We start from the raw sequence: 18,241 nt of genomic DNA, 5'->3' as shown, positions 1-18,241 counted from the left end.
CTCAACCTCCCTGGCTCAAGTGATCCTCTCACCTCAGCCTCCTGAGTAGCTGGGACCACAGGTGCGTGCCACCATGTATGGCCAATTTTTGTATTTGTTGTAGAGACAGGGTTTCATCATGTTGCCCAGGTTAGTGTCAAACTCCTGGACTCAAGCAATCTGCCCACCTCGGTCTCTCAAACTGCTAGGATCACTACAGGCGTGAGCCACCACACCCAGTCCAATGATGCATTCTTAACAGGATTCTTCCTTCATAAAACCAATTATCAGCAGAAAAACTTCCAGCCAAGCAAGTTAACATATAGTGAAACACAGAAATCTGTAGGTACTTTAACTTTCTAGTAAGTCAAAAATTAAGGAAACACAAAATAACTTTAACTCCAGACACATAAACTCTCTGAGCCTCAATATCCTTAGCTATGAAATGAGGAAGGTGGACTTTAATGCAAAGGCTCTTAATTAGGGATCTACTCCATGTTTGGACTCTCTACAGAACTATTTGCAAATTTTTTATATATGTAGATATGGGCATCAGATTATCTGGAAGTTTACTACTACTTAAATACACTGCTTTGTTCTGGATTTCTAAACTTCTTTGTACTGAGTACCTTACACATGTTTGATGAAAATCCAGGAAAAAAAACCGTGTGAACCCATAGGGAATTAATAAGCTGGTATGAAAGACAGACTTTTTCCAAAAGTGACATTAATGAACTGCTTGGAAACCCCAAAGCCTAATCAATGCACTACTCCTAGAAGAATTGGGCTTGGTGATCCTCCTAGGAGTATCCTGTTACCAGTGGAGGTGACATTTAAAATAGGGCTTGTTTAAATGACATCATACAAGGGCCTGTTGGGCGATTTCTGTTTGACAGAGATGTGAAGTCATCATCTTGGGGACAGGGAACTTATAAAATAATTCTGGCATCAATATTTTGTCTATACAGTGTATAGACAAAAGAATTATTCCAACCTCCAATGACCCATTCTTACCAAGATCTCTGGCTGCACTTATTAATGTTGACTGCATCTTCTTTTCCAAGTCATTCATTATTTCTCTTAATTCACTGAGATTAGGATCAAATGAAGGTTTTACAAGGAATTCATGGTTTTCCACCTGCAAACAGAACAAAGTGACAAAATCCTATAAATAATGGGTAAAGACAGAAATTATAAAGCAAATATTTCCTCCCACTTAAATTTTACTGTTTTCAGTTAAATAATTTGCTATCCATAAGTTATTCAGTCACAACTATTAAGGACTTTCTATTTATAGAAATGTAAAATTCTGTTCATTAGGACTTTAGAGTTCTATATGTACAAAAATGATTCATATGAAACAGTTACAGTGCTGATGATGTATATGCCCCCAATAGTATTCTACATTTTATTTATATTTTTCCTAAACATTTAAAATGTCCTCTCTAAAAATTACCAAATAACGTTCAATGTGCAAAACTTGTAATAGTTATATGTTGCCCAAACCAAGGATCTACCTTAGAAATCTCAAAAAGCTCTAAGAAACTAAAGAATTTTATTTCTTAAAAGTTCATCAAAATCTCACAATTTAAAGACATACTCTTAAGTACTTTGTTTCACTAAATTCTTACCAGTAATAACAGCAAGAAACCACAATGAGAAATAGATCTCATTTACAGTAGCAAAAACATACATAAAATATTCAGAAACAAAGTCTTGATTATATAGGATCTTTATAAAGATAACTGCCTATTGGAAGATTTAAAAGAAGAATTTGAATGTTAAATTCAGCTGATTAAAAAACTACACAAGAATTGGACTGGCATCGTGGCTCATACTTGTAATCCCAGCACTTTGGGAGGCCGAGGCAGGTGGATCTCTTGAGGTCAGGAGTTTGAGACCGGCTTGGCCAACATGGTGAAACCCCATCTCTACTAAAAATACAAAATTAGCCGGGCGTAGCAGTGCGCACCTGTAGTCCCAGCTATTTGGCAGGCTGAGGCAGGACAATCACTTGAACAAGGGAGGCAGAGGTTGCAATGAGCCAACATTGTGCAACTGTACTCCAGCCTAGGTGACATACTGAGACTCGTCAAAAAAAGACAGAGAAGAGAAGAGAAGAGAAGAGAAGAGAGAAGAAAAGAAAAGAAAGAAAAGAAAAGGAAAGGAAAGGAAAGGAAAGGAAAGGAAAGGAAAGGAAAGAAAAGAAAAGAAAAGAAAAGAAAAGAAAAGAAAAGAAAAGAAAAGAAAAGAAAAAGAAAAAGAAAAGAGAGACAGAGGCTGGGCGCGGTGGCTCACGCCTGTAATCCACTTTGGGAGGCCGAGGTGGGCGGATCACGAGGTCAGGAGATTGAGACCATCCTGGCTAACACAATGAAACCCTGTCTCTACTAAAAATACAAAAAAAAAAAAAAAAAAAAAAAAAAAAAAATTAGCCAGGAGTGGTGGGGGGCACCTGTAGTCCCAGCTAGTTGGGAGGCTGAGGCAGGAGAATGGCGCGAACCTGGGAGGCGGAGCTTGCTGTGAGCAGAGATCGCACCACTGCACTCCAGCCTGGGCGACACAGCGAGACTCCGTCTCAAAAAAAAAAAAAAAAGAAAGAAAAGAAAGAAGAGGTAAACTATGAAAAGAGAAAACTAGATCTAATATTATTATTAAGCTATCTATTCCTAGAGATTGTTCAATAGGAATTGTTTTTTGAAACAAAACAACTAAAATTTACATGAAATTGTGAAAGAACATCTAAAAAAAGAATGAAGTGTATCCTTACTAGGCATTACAGTGAAACAGACAATTATATATAGAAGCTTAATATAACAGAGTCCGTTCTCTTGATTTAAAACATTCAATAAATGAGGTTGAGATAAATTGTTCCTAATTACTACCCACTTAGAGAGAGCACACTTTAACATACCAGAAGCAAACTATGCAAGGAATAAGGAATTAAAATCAAATTACAGAAAGCTAGCAAAAAAAGAGAATATACATAAAATAACTTTCTCAATTTAAACCAACCAAAAGAAATTCAATATAATATTAAAATTTAAAATTCTGAATAAACCTAATTTTTAAAAGATGAAACATTAAAAAAAAAGCTTCACAAAATGTAAAAAGATAAAGGTTAATATATTCTTTTACAAAAAGCACTTGCTTCCATGTGTAAGAAAACATCAAGGTCATCAAGTGGGCATGTGTAAGCACTTACAACTCACAGATAAGAAAATAAGTAGTGAACTAATCCACAGGAAATGCTGTAAGAATAAAAGACAGAAATATTTAAGCAACCTTGAGATTATTCTACAGCTTTTTTTTTTTTTAAAAAAAAAGAAACTAGCTACAGTAAAATTAGTACACTCATTCAGTTCTAGTGAGACTCTAACTTGGTATAACCTTTAAAAATGAAAAAAGCAGTATGCGGCAAGGCTCAGAGATACTTGTTATTCTCTTTGACATAGCAATTCTACTCCTAGAAATTCAATCTGAGGAAACAATGCAACAGAAGCAAAACAATACAGAGCTGAATAAAATCTCTGCAGACTTATCTGTTATAGCAAAACTTAAAAATAATAAAACATCATAGTATTTGCACAATGGTACATCAGTAAAATAGAATACTGTGCAGTAATTTAAACAGATAATGATGATTATCTGGAAATATTGACTAAGACTTATAATAATTCAGGAAAAAAATGCTGTAATGGTGGACTGAAACTGTGCTAATGAACTTGCCTCTTCCAATGAATCTGAGAGGTGAGCCAAACCAGGCCAAGTTCCTATCCTCACTCACCATCTTCAAGAAACCTAGTTGGTAAGTCAACAAAACTCTTGAGAATTCCTAAAAATAATCCCAAATCTGGAGAGAAGAAAACTTAATGAATATCCTTACATTTTCCTTTCTCAGATGAGGTTATACTGTTTTGAAAGGGCTGCTGAGGAGTCCCCAGTTAAACAAGGGAAAAGTGAACAACTAGCCTCTAACTTACTAAAATAAATACTCAAGGGCCACACAGGAAACTGGGCGTCTTCAGCAATCCATTACATCCGCCAAACAATCCAGGATAATAAAATATATCACCCAACAAGGTATTCTTATCTAGAACTGGAGTATTCTAAAAATGTGACATCTGACTTCTACTATGTACTAGCTGAACAGTATCAGCCTACCTACAGTATACTTACCTAGGCATCAGAAACACAGTTATTGCTTCAGGCTACACAAAAGGAGACTGAAAAGAAACTAAAAAATGGGATGATGAAACCAAGAAACAAGATGAAAAGAATGAGGAAGGAAAGTTAGGCCTTTGTCAGGCACGGTGGCTCACGCCTGTAACCCTAGCACTTTGGGAGGCCAAGGTAGGTAGATCACCTGAGGTCAGGAGTTCAAGACCAGCCTGGCCAGCATGGTGAAACCCCGTCTACTAAAAATACCAAAAATTAGCCAGGTGTGATGGTGGGCACCTGTAATCCCAGCTACTCGAGAGGCTGAAGCAGGAGAATCACTTGAACCTGGGAGGTGGAGGCTGCAGTGAGTCAAGATCGCACCATTGCACTCCAGCCTGGGCAACAAGAGCAAAACTGTATCAAAGAAAAAAAAAAAAGAACTGTATACCTAGAAAAACCATCCTTCAAGAACAAGGGTGAAATACAGACATTTTCAAACAAATAAAACCTAACAGACCTCCAACAAAGGAACTTCTTAAAAATATACAGGAAGTATTGAATACCAAAGAAACTCGTATGCATATGGACAAATCTAAACTTAACATTGACTTACAGAATGGAGATCTGAGAGGTAAAACTGATAGAACTAGAATACTAGACAATTATGAAGAAATGTAACCTGATTTTAGGTGTCTTAAGGTCCTAGTATTTTTTGGGATATCTGAGAAGATACTGATAGGCTTTTGACTCTGATAAGATAAGTAAACACATTGGAAAAAAAAAAGTGGCTATCTTCCAAACCAGTGTGTGTGATGAGATAGGATTGGGGAAGAGCAAAGGGAGAGGACAAAATGGAATTTTAGAAACCCAAGCAATACAAAAGTAAAACAGAATGGGCAAGGGGGACCAGGTATGGTGGCTCATACCTGTAATCCCAGCACTTTGGGAGGCCAAGGCAGGAGGATAACTTGAGCCCTGGAGTTTGAGAGCAGCCTGAACAACATAGTGAGACACCATCTCTATTCTAAGTTTTTTTTGTTTTTTTTTTTAATGTGTAAGTGGAACCAGGAAGAAGAGGAATCACCAAATAATTAGGTAGAAATAAATCCAAAGATACTAGTAACTACAACAAACATAATAGACTAAAACTGCTACTAAAAAAATCGAATTAAATTAGCCAGGAGTGTTGGCTCATGCCTGTAATCCCAGCACTTTGGGAGGCTGAGGCAGGTGGATCACCTGAGGTCAGGAGTTCGAGACCAGACTGGCCAACATGGTGAAAGCCCGCCTCTACTAAAAATACAAAAATTAGCCAGGCGTGGTGGCGCACGCCTGTAATCCCAGCTCCTAGGGAGGCTAAGGCAGGAGAATCACTTAAACCCGGGAGGCGGAGGCTGCAGTGAGCTGAGATCGCACCACTGCACCCCAGCCTGGGCGACAGAGTGAGACTTAGTCTCAAAAAAAAAAAAATCAAATTAAATTTAAAACTAAATAAAATCCAGTTATTAAGCTTTATTTTGCTTAAACTTACGGTTAAAAAACCTCATTAAAAAAGAAAAAAATATATACCATATTAAAAAGTGTTTTAAAAAGTACTCTGACATAGCTCTCTTACAATGAAACAAAATGTAAGGCAAAAAAAGCATTATTAAGGACAGAGTCCCTAAAGAATGATGAAGATTCAATTCACCACAAAAAAACAACAGCTCTGTGCCTAACATATTAACCAAAAATAGAACTAGATGGAGAAACCCACATCCTTCTCAGTAACCCAGCAGATCAAAAATTAGCAAGCATATATAGACAATGAAAAAGCAATCCCAAAATTAGAGTACACATCCAATTTTTAAATACATGGGGAACTTTTATGAAACTGACACACACTAAGCTTGGAAATTTAAAAATATACTTCCAAATAATTAACAAACCAAACAACAAATGATAAGAGAAATAAAATACTTGAAGTTGAGTAAGAAATTATACCTCTCTAAACTCACACTTGTAATCCTACAACTTTGGGAAGCCAAGGCAGGAGGATTGCTTGAGCCCAGGAGTTCAAAGCCAGCCTGGGAAACATAGCAAAAACCCTGTCTCTGCTAAAAAATAAAAAAAATTAGCCAGGTGTGGTGGCACACACCTATAATCTCAGGTACGCAGGAGGCTGAGGTGGGAGGATCACTGGAGCCCAGGAATTCAAGGCCTGCAGTGAGCTATGCTCAAACCACTGCACTCCAGCCTGGACAACAGAGCAGGATCCTGTCAATCAATCAATAAATTAATAATAAATGTGGTATGTCCATATAAGGGAATACTATTCAGCTATACGAGGAGATATGGTCTGGATATGTGCCCCCACCCAAGTATCATGTTGAATTGGAACTGGAATCCCCAGTGCTGGAGGTGGAGCCTGGTGAGAGGTGACTGGATCGTGAGGGCGGTTTCCCCTGGGTGCTGTTCTCATTATAGTGACTGACTTGTCCTGAGATCTAGTTGTTTAAAAGTGTGGAGCACCTCCCCCTTCTCTCTCTTGCTCCTGCTCCACCATGTAAGACGCCGCACTTCCCCTTCTGCCATGATTTTAAATTTCCTGAGGCCTCCCCAGAAGCTGAGCAGGTGCCATCATCATGCTTCCTGTACGGCCTGCAGAACCATGAGCCAATTAAACCTCTTTTCTTTATAAATTACTCAGTCTCAGCTATTTCTTTATAGCAGTACAAGAATGGACCAATACACAAGGAAATGAAGTACTGACACATGCTACAATGTGGATGAGCCTCTAAAACATTATACTAAGTGAAAGAGGTCAATCATAAAAGGTCACATGATTCCATTTATATAAAATGTCCAGAACTGACAAGTCCACAGAGACAAAAAGTACATTAGTGGTTGCCGGTGTCTGGGGAAACAGGAGAGACCGCTAATAGATATGAGGTTTTCTTTTGGTTGTGATGAAATATTTTCAAACTAGATGGTGGTGGTCATTTCACAACACTGTGAATATACTAAATGCTAGTGAATACTACACTTTAAAATTGTGGCTTTTTGAGTGGAGGGATTAACCTATGCGGTCAACTATACATGCTAGTCTCCACCCAGTAAAAGGTAGCCATAGAAATTTTCAAGACCTGTCCTCAAAACCCTCAATAATGCCTAGAGTTGAGAACAGACTTAATGTTAACAGTGGTTATTTCTGAGTAGTAGATGCAGGGGATATTTTTAACTTTCTTCTTATAATATATGAAGGGTCTTCAAAAAGTTCATGGAAAATGTGTTGTGAAAAAACTATGCGTGGATTCAAAAGTTTTTGGCACCAAAATAAACTTTACTAATTTGCTATAACACGTCTGAATAGGATCTAGTCAGAGACACTATGAAGGCTAAGACATCAGTTTAGATGTCAGAGCAGTATGAGTTCTGCTAAAATTGAAGTAAGACCAAACAGCAAATTTATAGTGAAGTCTGCATAGAAGAATAATGAAATAACTGATGCTTTATGAAAATTTTATGGGGTCAATGCTCCTAGGAAATCAGCAGTTTACAAACGGATAACTTGTTCTAACAAGGGATGAGACCATGTCGAAGATGAAGCCCACAGCGGCAGACCATCCACATCAATTTTTCAGGAAAAATTAATTTTGTTCATTCCCTAATTGAAGAGAACTAATGACTAACAGCAGAAACAATAGCCAACACTACAGGCATCTCAACAATTGGTCCAGTTTACACAATTCTGACTGAAAAATTAAAGCTGAACAAACTTTTCACTTGATGGGTGACAAAACTGTTGCACCCAGATTAACTGCAGACAGGAGCAGAGCTTTCCATAGAAATTTAAACAAGGGATCAAGATCCTGAAGCATTTCTTCAAAGAACTGTAACAGGAGCCAAAACATGGCTTTACCAATGCCATCCTGAAGACAAAGCACAATCAAAGCAATGGCTACCAAAAATGGAAGTGGTCCAGTCGAAGCAAAAGTGGACCAGTCAAGGGCAAAGGTCATGGCAACAGTTTTTTGGGATGTTCAGGCATTTTGCTTGCTGATGTTCTGGGGGGATAAAGAACATAAGCTCTGCTTATTATTAGAGTGTTTTGAGAAAGTTATCCCAAGTTTTTGCAGAAAAATGCCAGGGAAAGCATCATCAAAGTCCTTTTCCACCATGACAACGTTCCTGCACGCTCTTCTCATCAAACAAGGCCAATTTTGTAAGTTTCTATGGAAAGTCGTTAAGCATCCACCTTGATTTGGCTTCTTCTGACTTCTTTTTGTTCCTAATCTTAAAAGATCTTTAAAGAGCACCTATTTTTCTTTAGTTAGTAATGTAAAGAGACTGCATTGACATGGTAAAATTTCTAGTACCCTCAGTTCTTTACGGATGAACTAAACAGCTGAGATCATCATTTATAAAAGTGTCTTGAACTTGAGGAGCTTATGTTGGGAAATAAATTTAAAATGTGTTTTTAAATTTTATCTTTTAATTCCATTTTTCCACAAACTTTTTGAAGTCCTCACGTACATTTACCTGTTTTACAACAAGGCTCTGTTGTTTCTAAAAAGGATTTCTATAGCTCATCATCACTGGCCATCAGAGAAATGCAAATCAAAACCACAATGAGATACCATCTCACACCAGTTAGAATGGCGATCATTAAAAAGTCAGGAAACGACAGGTGCTGGAGACGATGTGGAGAAATAGGAACACTTTTACACTGTTGGTGGGACTGTAAACTAGTTCAACCATTGTGGAAGACTGTGGCGATTCCTCAGGGATCTAGAAGTAGAAATACCATTGGACCCAGCCATCCCATTACTGGGTATATACCCAAAGGATTATAAATCATGCTGCTATAAAGGCTCACGCACACGTGTGTTTATTGCGGCACTATTCACAACATCAAAGACTTGGAATCAACCCAAATGTCCAACAATGACAGACTAGATTAAGAAAATGTGGCACATATACACCATGGAATACTATGCAGCCATAAAAAATGATGAGTTCATGTCCTTTGTAGGGAAATGGATGAAGCTGGAAACTATCATTCTCAGCAAACTATCGCAAGGACAAAAAACCAAACACCGCATGTTCTCAGTCATAGGTGGGAATTGAACAATGAGGACACTTGGACACAGGAAGGGGAACATCACACACCTGTTGAGGGGTGGAGGGAGGGGGGAGGGATAGCATCAGGAGATATACCTAATGTAAATGACGAGTTAATGGGTGCAACACACCAACATGTCACATGTATACATATGTAACAAACCTGCACATTGTACACATGTACCCTAGAACTTAAAGTATAATAAAAAACAAAAAAAACAAAAAAGGATTACTATAAACAAAGATGTCAACATGTTGAGGGTTAATTCTAAGTGGAGAGAATATGAATACCCCCCTTGTTATACTTTTTCATTTCTAATAATAAAAATTATGAAGCATTTACATATACTATTTTTATAACTCATATATACTCATACAATAATGATATAGTTGTATCAGGATCACACAACTGTGGCTTCTTTAAAACTATTTCATTTTTTTTGGTCAGCATTTTCTTTCTTTTTTTTTTTTTTTTTGAGATGGAGTCTTGCTCTGTTGCCCAGGCTGGAGTGCAGTAGCGCGATCTTGGCTCACTGCAAGCTCCGCCTCCCAGATTCATGCCATGCTCCTGCCTCAGCCTCCTGAGTAGCTGGGACTACAGGGACCTGCCACCATGCCCGGCTAATTTTTTTGTATTTTTAGTACAGACGGGGTTTCACCGTGTTAGCCAGGATGGTCTTGATCTCCTGAGCTCGTGATCCGCCCGCCTCGGCCTCCCAAAGTGCTGACATTACAGGTGTGAGCTACTACACTCGGCCTCTGTCAGCATTTTCAATAAAAATTTGTTTAAAGTTACTACTTTTCCAATAATAAATGAAATAACAATATGCATCTGAAAACTAGTATCAAAAGATGGCCAAAATGCAGTATAGAAATGTTTACATTTAAGACATATCATTTAAAGTCCCAAGCTAAATAAAATTATTTACTTTCTTGCGAAAAACTGTCTTTTTTTCAATCCTGTCTTGGGGTGGTTTTGATCCACATTTACTTCAAAAATAGAAAATACTTCTAAAAGACTTATGTAAAGCAGCCACAAAAACACTGGAAGCACGCACGATACACAAAGCTAAGCTTAGGAGGGGAAAAATTAACCAAACCACTCATGTAAATACTGTTCCCTTCATCACATGAATTAAGTGCACACCTAGAAAACAGTGAAGCTTTCAGAAATTATACAGAAACAACTGATATTCCCTAGACTTCCTCAAAGTGGTTCTGAATCATGTAATTTAAATCCCTAAATCCATTAAAAATATCTACATTGACAGTGGACAGTTGAATTCACCTTATAACCTCAGACAAGTTTAAAAGTTTGTAACCAAAGAAAAAGAAGATACTATATGAGGTCAACCCCCTAGGGAATCTAGAACAGATCTTTAACAGGGAATCTGATTTATTTAAAAGACAGCCTTATATTATAAAACATAGAAGCCTATGGTTACAGATGGTATCTTAGTAGACACTGCTGATGATTTACACAACAGTTATTCCCTTCCTCCCCCTTCCCAGGAGTGCTCAGACTTTGTCTATCTCTTCCTACAGGGAAGCTGACTCCATACCCAACCATGGTTACCTCGGGCCAATCATCCCATTCTATGTCCCTGGTCACAATCACTGTTTAAATGGTCCCATCACTACAAACTGCAGGACTCTTGCTTGGAATGGTGCCCCAACTGCTAACTGGTCCTAGGGCCAAAAAGGGAACCATCCTTGGTTGAAATTAAAATTACAAAAGGTAGAAGAGATCTACAGGATCAAGCAACTCTAAATAAAGCCTACCTTCTCTCCATACTTTTAACTACATAACCTAGATTATGTTGAGTTTTCAGTTACCTGCATAACAAGTCCTGATATAAATAACCTCAAACAGTCTACTCAGAGAAAAAAAAGAAATGCACAACTCACATCTTACTGGCACAGTACTTAACTGTGTCGTAAGTGTGTGTGTGTGTGTGCTGAAATCATTTGAGAACAGGCTTTTTTGTGAACTCCCTTATCTGCTTAAAAGAAGAGCCTCTCGAAAGAGCCCAATTGTTATAAATCTCCTAGCAGTTTCCAGCAACCAGAAGACTGACTCTCATAACAAGAAGAGAAGTAACCACCTAAACAGACATTGTCACAAAACCTTCATATTTCTCATCTATTCTCTTAAGGGTTCATTTATCTTTCCTACAAGTCATCTGTTTTCCCTTAAGTGCCCTTCATCTCCCTTTACTTCCTCTATTATGATGGTATATAAAGTCCAAATTCTTACAGCCTTTTCTCTCACTAATCTGTCTTTTATTAATTTAATTTGCCCCCAACTACTTAACGTAAGGCAGAGAAAAAGCTTTTCTTCCCTGACATCATCAACTACTAAATTTTCTACTTTAAGAAATGGGCACGTAGGCTGGGTGCAGTGGCTTACGCCTGTAATCCCAGCACTTTGGGAGGCCGAGGCGGGCAGATCATGAGGTGAGGAGATTGAGACCACCCTGGCCAACATGGTGAAACCCCGTGTCTACTGAAAATACAAAAAATTAGCTGGGCATGGTGGCAGGCGCCTGTAGTTCCAGCTACTCGGGAGGCTGACGCAGAAGAATGGCATGAACCCGGGGGGCAGAGCTTGCAGTGAGGTGAGATTGCGCCACTGCACTCCAGCCTGGGCGACAGAGCAAGACGCCGTCTCAAAAAAAAAAAGAAAAAAAAGAAAGAAACGGGCATGTCATAGGGGCAACAATGAAATGAGAACAAATGACCTCTTCTAGTCTACATCCACCTAACTGCACTGCTTACCTTCCTCAAATCCAGGCTCTTCCCAGCATTTATAATAAAATCCTTTAATCCCACAGCATCATTAAAGAAGTAACACTGACCACTATTTTACAGTCAGAGTACATCTAGTATAACAGGTATGTTTCAAATACTGCTGATCAAAGTAAAAAATCTTTAACCCACAATACAGAGTTAGTATAATGGAATTGGGGGAAGCATACCAGGATGTTAACACTGTTTACCTGGAGAGAAAGAAGGAAAAATATCAAGGATTGTCACTGAAGAGGATCAGAATGTCACCCCAAATCATGCCACTTTAGCCTAAGTATTCTTTTGAGAGGAAGATAATGAAGAAACAGTATACGTAGGAACTCTCTGCTCGCCCCCTTTCTGCATGAAGGCAGAATATAAATTTCCCTTTGTGAAGGTGTTCTCTCCCACCCCTCTTCTAGCAGGAAGAGAACTACTCTTGATCACCATAGACTCTTAAATTACTGGAGATGGCACTTGTTTTGGGTATGCATAACAAGCCTTACTAAAACAATCCTTATGTGCCATTAGTTTGCCCCAAATAATTACCTTCCCACAATTTACCACCCCTCGAAGCTCAAACCTCTTTTCTTCAATCTTACTGCCTCTCCACAATTTATTATCTGATATGTCTTGGCTGTGTCCCCACCCAAATCTCATCTTGAGTTGTAGCTCCCATAATCCCCATGTGTCATGGGAGGGACCCGGTGGGAGGTAATTGAATCACGGGGGCAGGTTTTTCCCATGCCGTTCTTGTGATGGTGAATAAGTCTCTCGAGATCTGATGGTTTTATAAAGGGCAGTTCCCCTGCACACACTCTCTTGCCTGACACCATGTAATATGTGCCTTTGCTCCTCCTTTACCTTCTGCCATGATTGTAAGGCCTCCCCAGCCATGTGCAATTGTGAGTCGATTAAACCTCTTTTTCTTTATAAATTACCCAGTCTTGGGTATGTATTTATTAGCAGCATGAGAACAGACTAATACATTATCCTTTATTAAAATGGCATATGAACTCTCCAGTCTGTTTCTTTAGGTCTTCACTTCTTTTCTATGAAGCTCTCATGTGTACTTGAAATAAAACTTTTCTCCTGTAAATCTGTCGTGTGTCAGTTGAATTCCCAAGCTCCTCCAATGAACCTAAGAGGCTGGAGGAAATATGTTTTCCCATCTCTACCACACCTTTCCCGCCATACTTCTTTGTATCATTTTGTTCACTTGTTATAATACTATACATTACATTTAAAAGTAGAAAAGCTTCAAAGAAAAATACATTTTTTTTTTTTGGAGACAGAGTCTTGCTCTGTTGCCCAGGCTGGAGTTCAGTGGGTGATCTCAGCTCACTGCAACCTCCACCTCCCGAGTTCAAGCGATTCTACTGTCCCAGCCTCCCAAGTAGCTGGGACTACAGGTATGCGCCACCATGCCTGGTTAATTTTTTTATTTTTTATTTGTTTATTTTTTTGAGACAGAGTCTCGCACTCTCGCCCAGGTTGGAGTGCAGCAGCGCCATCTCGGCTCACTGCAAGCTCCACCTCCTGGGTTCAAGCCATTCTCCTGCCTCAGCCTTCCGAGTAGCTGGGACTATAGGCGCCTGCCACCATGCCCGGCTAATTTTTTGCATTTTTAGTAGAGATGGGGTTTCACCGTGTTAGCCAGGATGGTCTCGATCTCCTGACCTTGTGATCTGCCTGCCTCGGCCTCCCAAAGTGCTGGGATTACAGGTGTGAGCCACCGCACCCGGCCTAATTTTTGTATTTTTAGTAGAAATGGGGTGTCGCCCTGTTGGCCAGGCTGGTGTTGAACTCCTGACCTCACAAGATCTGCCCACCTCAGCCTCCCAAAATGCTGGAATTACAGGTGTGAGCCACTGTGCCCCGCCTAAAAAAAAAACTTAAAAAATTATTTATATCCTGATTTTTAAATGTCGTTATGAAAAACTACCCACAAGCACTCTAAATAAAAACTACAAACAGGAAGTCATCAAATCATTAATGGGACATCATCATTTGTTAGGGAACGTTAGGCTTATTTGCTGTCAAGCAGAGACTTTAAAAAAATAAAATAAAAAAGGCATAATGTAAATTTAAAATATCCAAGATTTGATCATCCTGTTGCCGTCTGTAATTATTATAGCAGTAGATAACATTATCAACGAGTAGAACCTACAAAGAATAAAACAATTAACTGCAGAAAGACAGCTTTTACAGTCCAAAAGTAGGGAAGGAGAGGTAGTGGGGAGGTGGAAGAGAGGACAGGGCCTCTGCATCTGCTGGGCAGAAATGTGATGGCCCAGATAAAAAGAGCTACAAGGGGATCTTTAATAGATGTGTACACTTAATAGAAGAATAGAAAGTGGTTCAAATTTTAACAACCTCTTAAATATTCTCAATTATACAAACCAATTTTGGGGCAGATATTGTCCAGTGACTGCCTAAGTGTGCAGCATTTCAGGGAGGATAGAAATTGGTAGGAAGGGCCAGGCATGGTGGGTGGCTCACACCTGTAATCCGAGCACTTTGGGAGGCCGAGGCCAATGGATCACCTGAGGTCAGGAGTTCAAGACCAGCCTGGCCAACATGGTGAAACCCTGTCTCTACGAAAAATACAAAAATTAGCTGGGTGTGGTGCAGTGTGCCTATAACCCCAGCTACTCAGGAGGCTGAGGCAGGAGAATCGCTTGAACCCAGGAGGCAGGGGTTGCAGTGAGCCAAGATCATGCCACTGCACCCTAGCCTGAGTGACAGAGCGAGACTCCATCTCAAAAAAATAAAACAACAACAAAAAAAGAAACTGGCAGAAATAAATCACATCAGAAGTTAGGCAAGCGTGGACCCCAGACAAACAGCATCAACAAACTTGTGTGTTAGAAATGCAAATTCCCCAGCCCTACTCCAGATCTGAAGAATCTGATTCTGGGCTTAGAGCCATGGCAATTTGTTCCCGTGGACATTCTGATACCTGCTTAAATTTGAGACACATAATATGAAGGCAAGATTATAGCAATTTAGAAGAAGAATGCTGACCACAAATGGCAAAATTAACTGTAGCATTTCAGCAGAGGTTTTTTTTTTTTTTTTTTTTTGTTTGTTTTTTTTTTTGAGATGGAGTCTCACTCAGGGACCCACCTAGAGTGCAGTGGCATGATCTCGGCTCATTGCAACCTCCGTCTCCTGGGTTCAAGCAATTCTCTTGCCTCAGCCTCCCAGATAGCTGGGATTACAGGCATGCACCACCACACCCAGCTAATTTTTGTATTTTTAGTAGAGACAGGGTTTCACCATGTTGGCTAGGCTGGTCTTGAACTCCTGACCTCAGGTGATCCACCCGCCTTGGTCTCCTAAAATGCTAGGATTACAGGCGTGAACCACCACGCCCGACCTCAGCAGAGCTTTGCCTGGGCTCTGGGTCCCTTCAAGGGAATACAGGTAGGTGACACTGAAAAGCTCAATACTCTTCCCACACCAGATCAATACCAGTCCGTAATAGGGACTAGGCTCTATTATACTCATAGTTTTTGTTAACCATCAAAAACACCTTTACATGTTTTTATTTAAAGCAATGTTTACAAATAACTTTGCCCTATCAAAGGCAAGACCACATCCTCAGACAGGCAGGAATAAAACACATTCGGCTTCCAGATGTCTCAGAACAATATTTCTGTCTCCCATTGATCTGAAAGTTGAACACCTAAAATCATTCCACTAATAGCAGCACTAGAGGAAACAATAGCCAAAATGTAAGTTTTCCTAAACGGGATGATGACACAACTTTTTTTGGCTTCTTAACCTACAAGTAAATGGAAAAGACAGCTCTAAGACTGCTCTATCACTGACACAGAATATACTAGAATATGGAAACATTTATACCTACACACGTGCACACCCATGCACTTTTAAAATCCAGAGGGCATAGAGCAAATGGCATTTAGCTTCTTTAAACCTCACTTAATGATCCAGTAATAATAAATCAACATCACATAGGGCAAGTATTAACTCAAACCACAAATACTAAGAAAAATGCAGTTAGGGCCGGGCATGGTGGCTCACGCCTATAATCCCAGCACTTTGGGAGGCAGACGCAGGTGGATCATCTGAGGTCAGGAGTTTGGGACAAGCCTGACCAACATAGAGAAACCCTGTTTCTACTAAAAATACAAAAATTAGCTGGGCGTGGTGGCACATGACTGTAATCCCAGATAACTGGAAGGCTGAGGCAGAAGAATGGCTTGAACTCGGGAGGCAGAGGTTGCAGTGAGCAGAGATCGTGCCACTGCACTCCAGCCTGGGCGACAATGGCAAAACTCCGTTTCAAAAAAAAAAAAAAAAAAAGAAAGGAAAAGAAAAGAAAAATGCGGCCAGGGGCAGTGGCCCATGTCTATCATCTCAGCACTCTGGGAGGCTGAGGCAGGAGGACTGCTGAAGCCCAGAAGTTTAAGACCAGCCTAGACAACAAGCAAGACCTCATCTCTACAAATAATTTAAAAATCAGCCAGGTGTGGTGATGCACATCTATGGTTCCAACTACTTGGGAGGCTGAAGTGGGAGGATCACTTGAGCCCAGATTCAAGGCTGCGGTGAACCATGATCGCACCACTGCACTCCACCCTGGGTGACAGAATAAAACTCTGTCTCATTTTTTTAAAAGGGTGGGGGATTACTCCTGTAATCCCAGCACTTTGGGAGGCCGAGGTGGGCTGATCACCTGAGACTGGGAGTTTGAGACCAGCCTGACCAACATGGAGAAACCCCATCTCTACTAAAAATACAAAATTAGCCGGGCTTGGTGGCGTATTCCTGTAATTCCAGCTACTTGGGAGGCTGAGGCAGGAGAATCGCTTGAACCCAGGAGGCGGAGGTTGAGGTGAGCCGAGATAGCGCCATTGCACTCCAGCCTTGTCAAAAAGAGTGAAACTCCGTCTCAAAAAAAAAAAAAAAAAAAAAAAAAAAAAGGAATGCAAAGAATCTAACAACTAGCAAACCAAACAGTTACCCTAATATGAATAATGCAAGCGTATATTCCTGCATGACCATTTTAACAGGGAATTTAACTTAGAAAAATTTCAAAATATTATTTTTAAAGTCCTGCAACTTAAAAACACTATATTCAGGCTCGGCATGGTGGCTCACACCTGTAATCCCAGCACTTGGGAGGCCGAGGCAGACGGATCACCTGAGTCCAGCCTGGCCAACATGCTGAGATCCCATCTCTACCAAAAATACAAAACTTAGCCGGGTTTGGTGACAGGTGCCTATAATCCCAGCTACTCGGGAGGCTAAGGCAGGAGAATCGCTTGAACCCAGGAGGCAGAGGTTGCAGTGAGCCAAGATCGCGCCATTGCACATCAGCCTCGGGACAAGAGTGAGACTTCATCTCAAAAACAAAAACAAAACAAACAAAAAAAACCCACTATATTCAACGGGCTCACCACAGTAAACCTGTAAACTTGTTCATATAAACAAATTTTTAACAGATACAAAACAAAACATTAACATTACATAAACTGTGCTTTAAAATTCACTTTCATGTAAGGATATTTTCAACTATTTCACAAACTGTTCTTACTTTACATATAATTATCATTCAAAATTGTTAAAGACATAAGATATAGATCAGTTAAACCCTAAATGTTCCCAATTAACAAATTTTAGAAGTAAATAGTATTTAGAGTCCTGGTTAACTTTTTAGTTATATTCGACAACTATTTAGGAGATGCACACCTATTCTAACCTCCTCCTGCAAAGAACTCTACATGGAAAAGAAACAGAAGTGGCCCGGCATGGTGGCTTCTACTGAAACCCCAGCATTTTGGGAGGCTAAGACTGAGGCCGGAGGATAGCTTGAGGCCAGCGTTTTAGGACCAGCTTGGGCAACACGGCGAGAGCTCATCTCTATAAAAAAGTTTTTTTAAAATTCGCCAGGCATGGTGGTACACACCTGTATTTACACCTACTAAGGCTAAGGCAGGAGGATTACTTGAACCCAGGAATTTGAGGGGTTAGTGAACTATGATAGTGTCACTGCACTTAAGCCTGGGTAACAGAGGGAAACCCTGTCTCAAAAGAAAAACAAGAAAATAAACAAAATGAAAGTTTTCTTGTGTGTCCTATGTTTACCTCTAACTTCTCTTTCCGTTTCCAGTGACTATAATTTTCCTTCTCTTTGAAAATAAAATGCAGTTGCATTTACGAAATTATGAAATTGTTCATT

The 18,241-nt window shown here is 39.8% G+C and overlaps 1 protein-coding gene across 60 annotated transcripts in view; it reads right to left on the bottom strand.

Moving 5' to 3' along the window:
• Positions 1-18,241, bottom strand: part of MSH2 (mutS homolog 2) — a 306,764-nt gene that overhangs the window by 245,683 nt on the left and 42,840 nt on the right. For 57 of the 60 annotated variants that reach the window (NR_176242.1, NR_176244.1, NR_176248.1 and 54 more), the window contains one exon: positions 994-1,117. Coding sequence is in view for 39 of the 60 variants with exons in the window: in NM_001258281.1 (NP_001245210.1) it covers positions 994-1,117 (124 nt within the window). In the remaining 21 variants the exon portion in view is untranslated. Of the gene's footprint in view, positions 1-993; positions 1,118-3,191; positions 3,231-13,012; positions 13,180-18,241 lie in introns of those variants that run through there. The other 3 variants (NM_001406666.1, NM_001406672.1, NM_001406638.1) reach the window with 2 other exon arrangements.

This window comes from Homo sapiens, chromosome 2 (genome assembly GCF_000001405.40).
Source record: "Homo sapiens chromosome 2, GRCh38.p14 Primary Assembly".
Lineage (NCBI taxonomy): Eukaryota > Metazoa > Chordata > Mammalia > Primates > Hominidae > Homo > Homo sapiens.
Note: the sequence above shows the minus strand (reverse complement) of the source record. Positions and strands in the feature narration are given on the sequence as shown.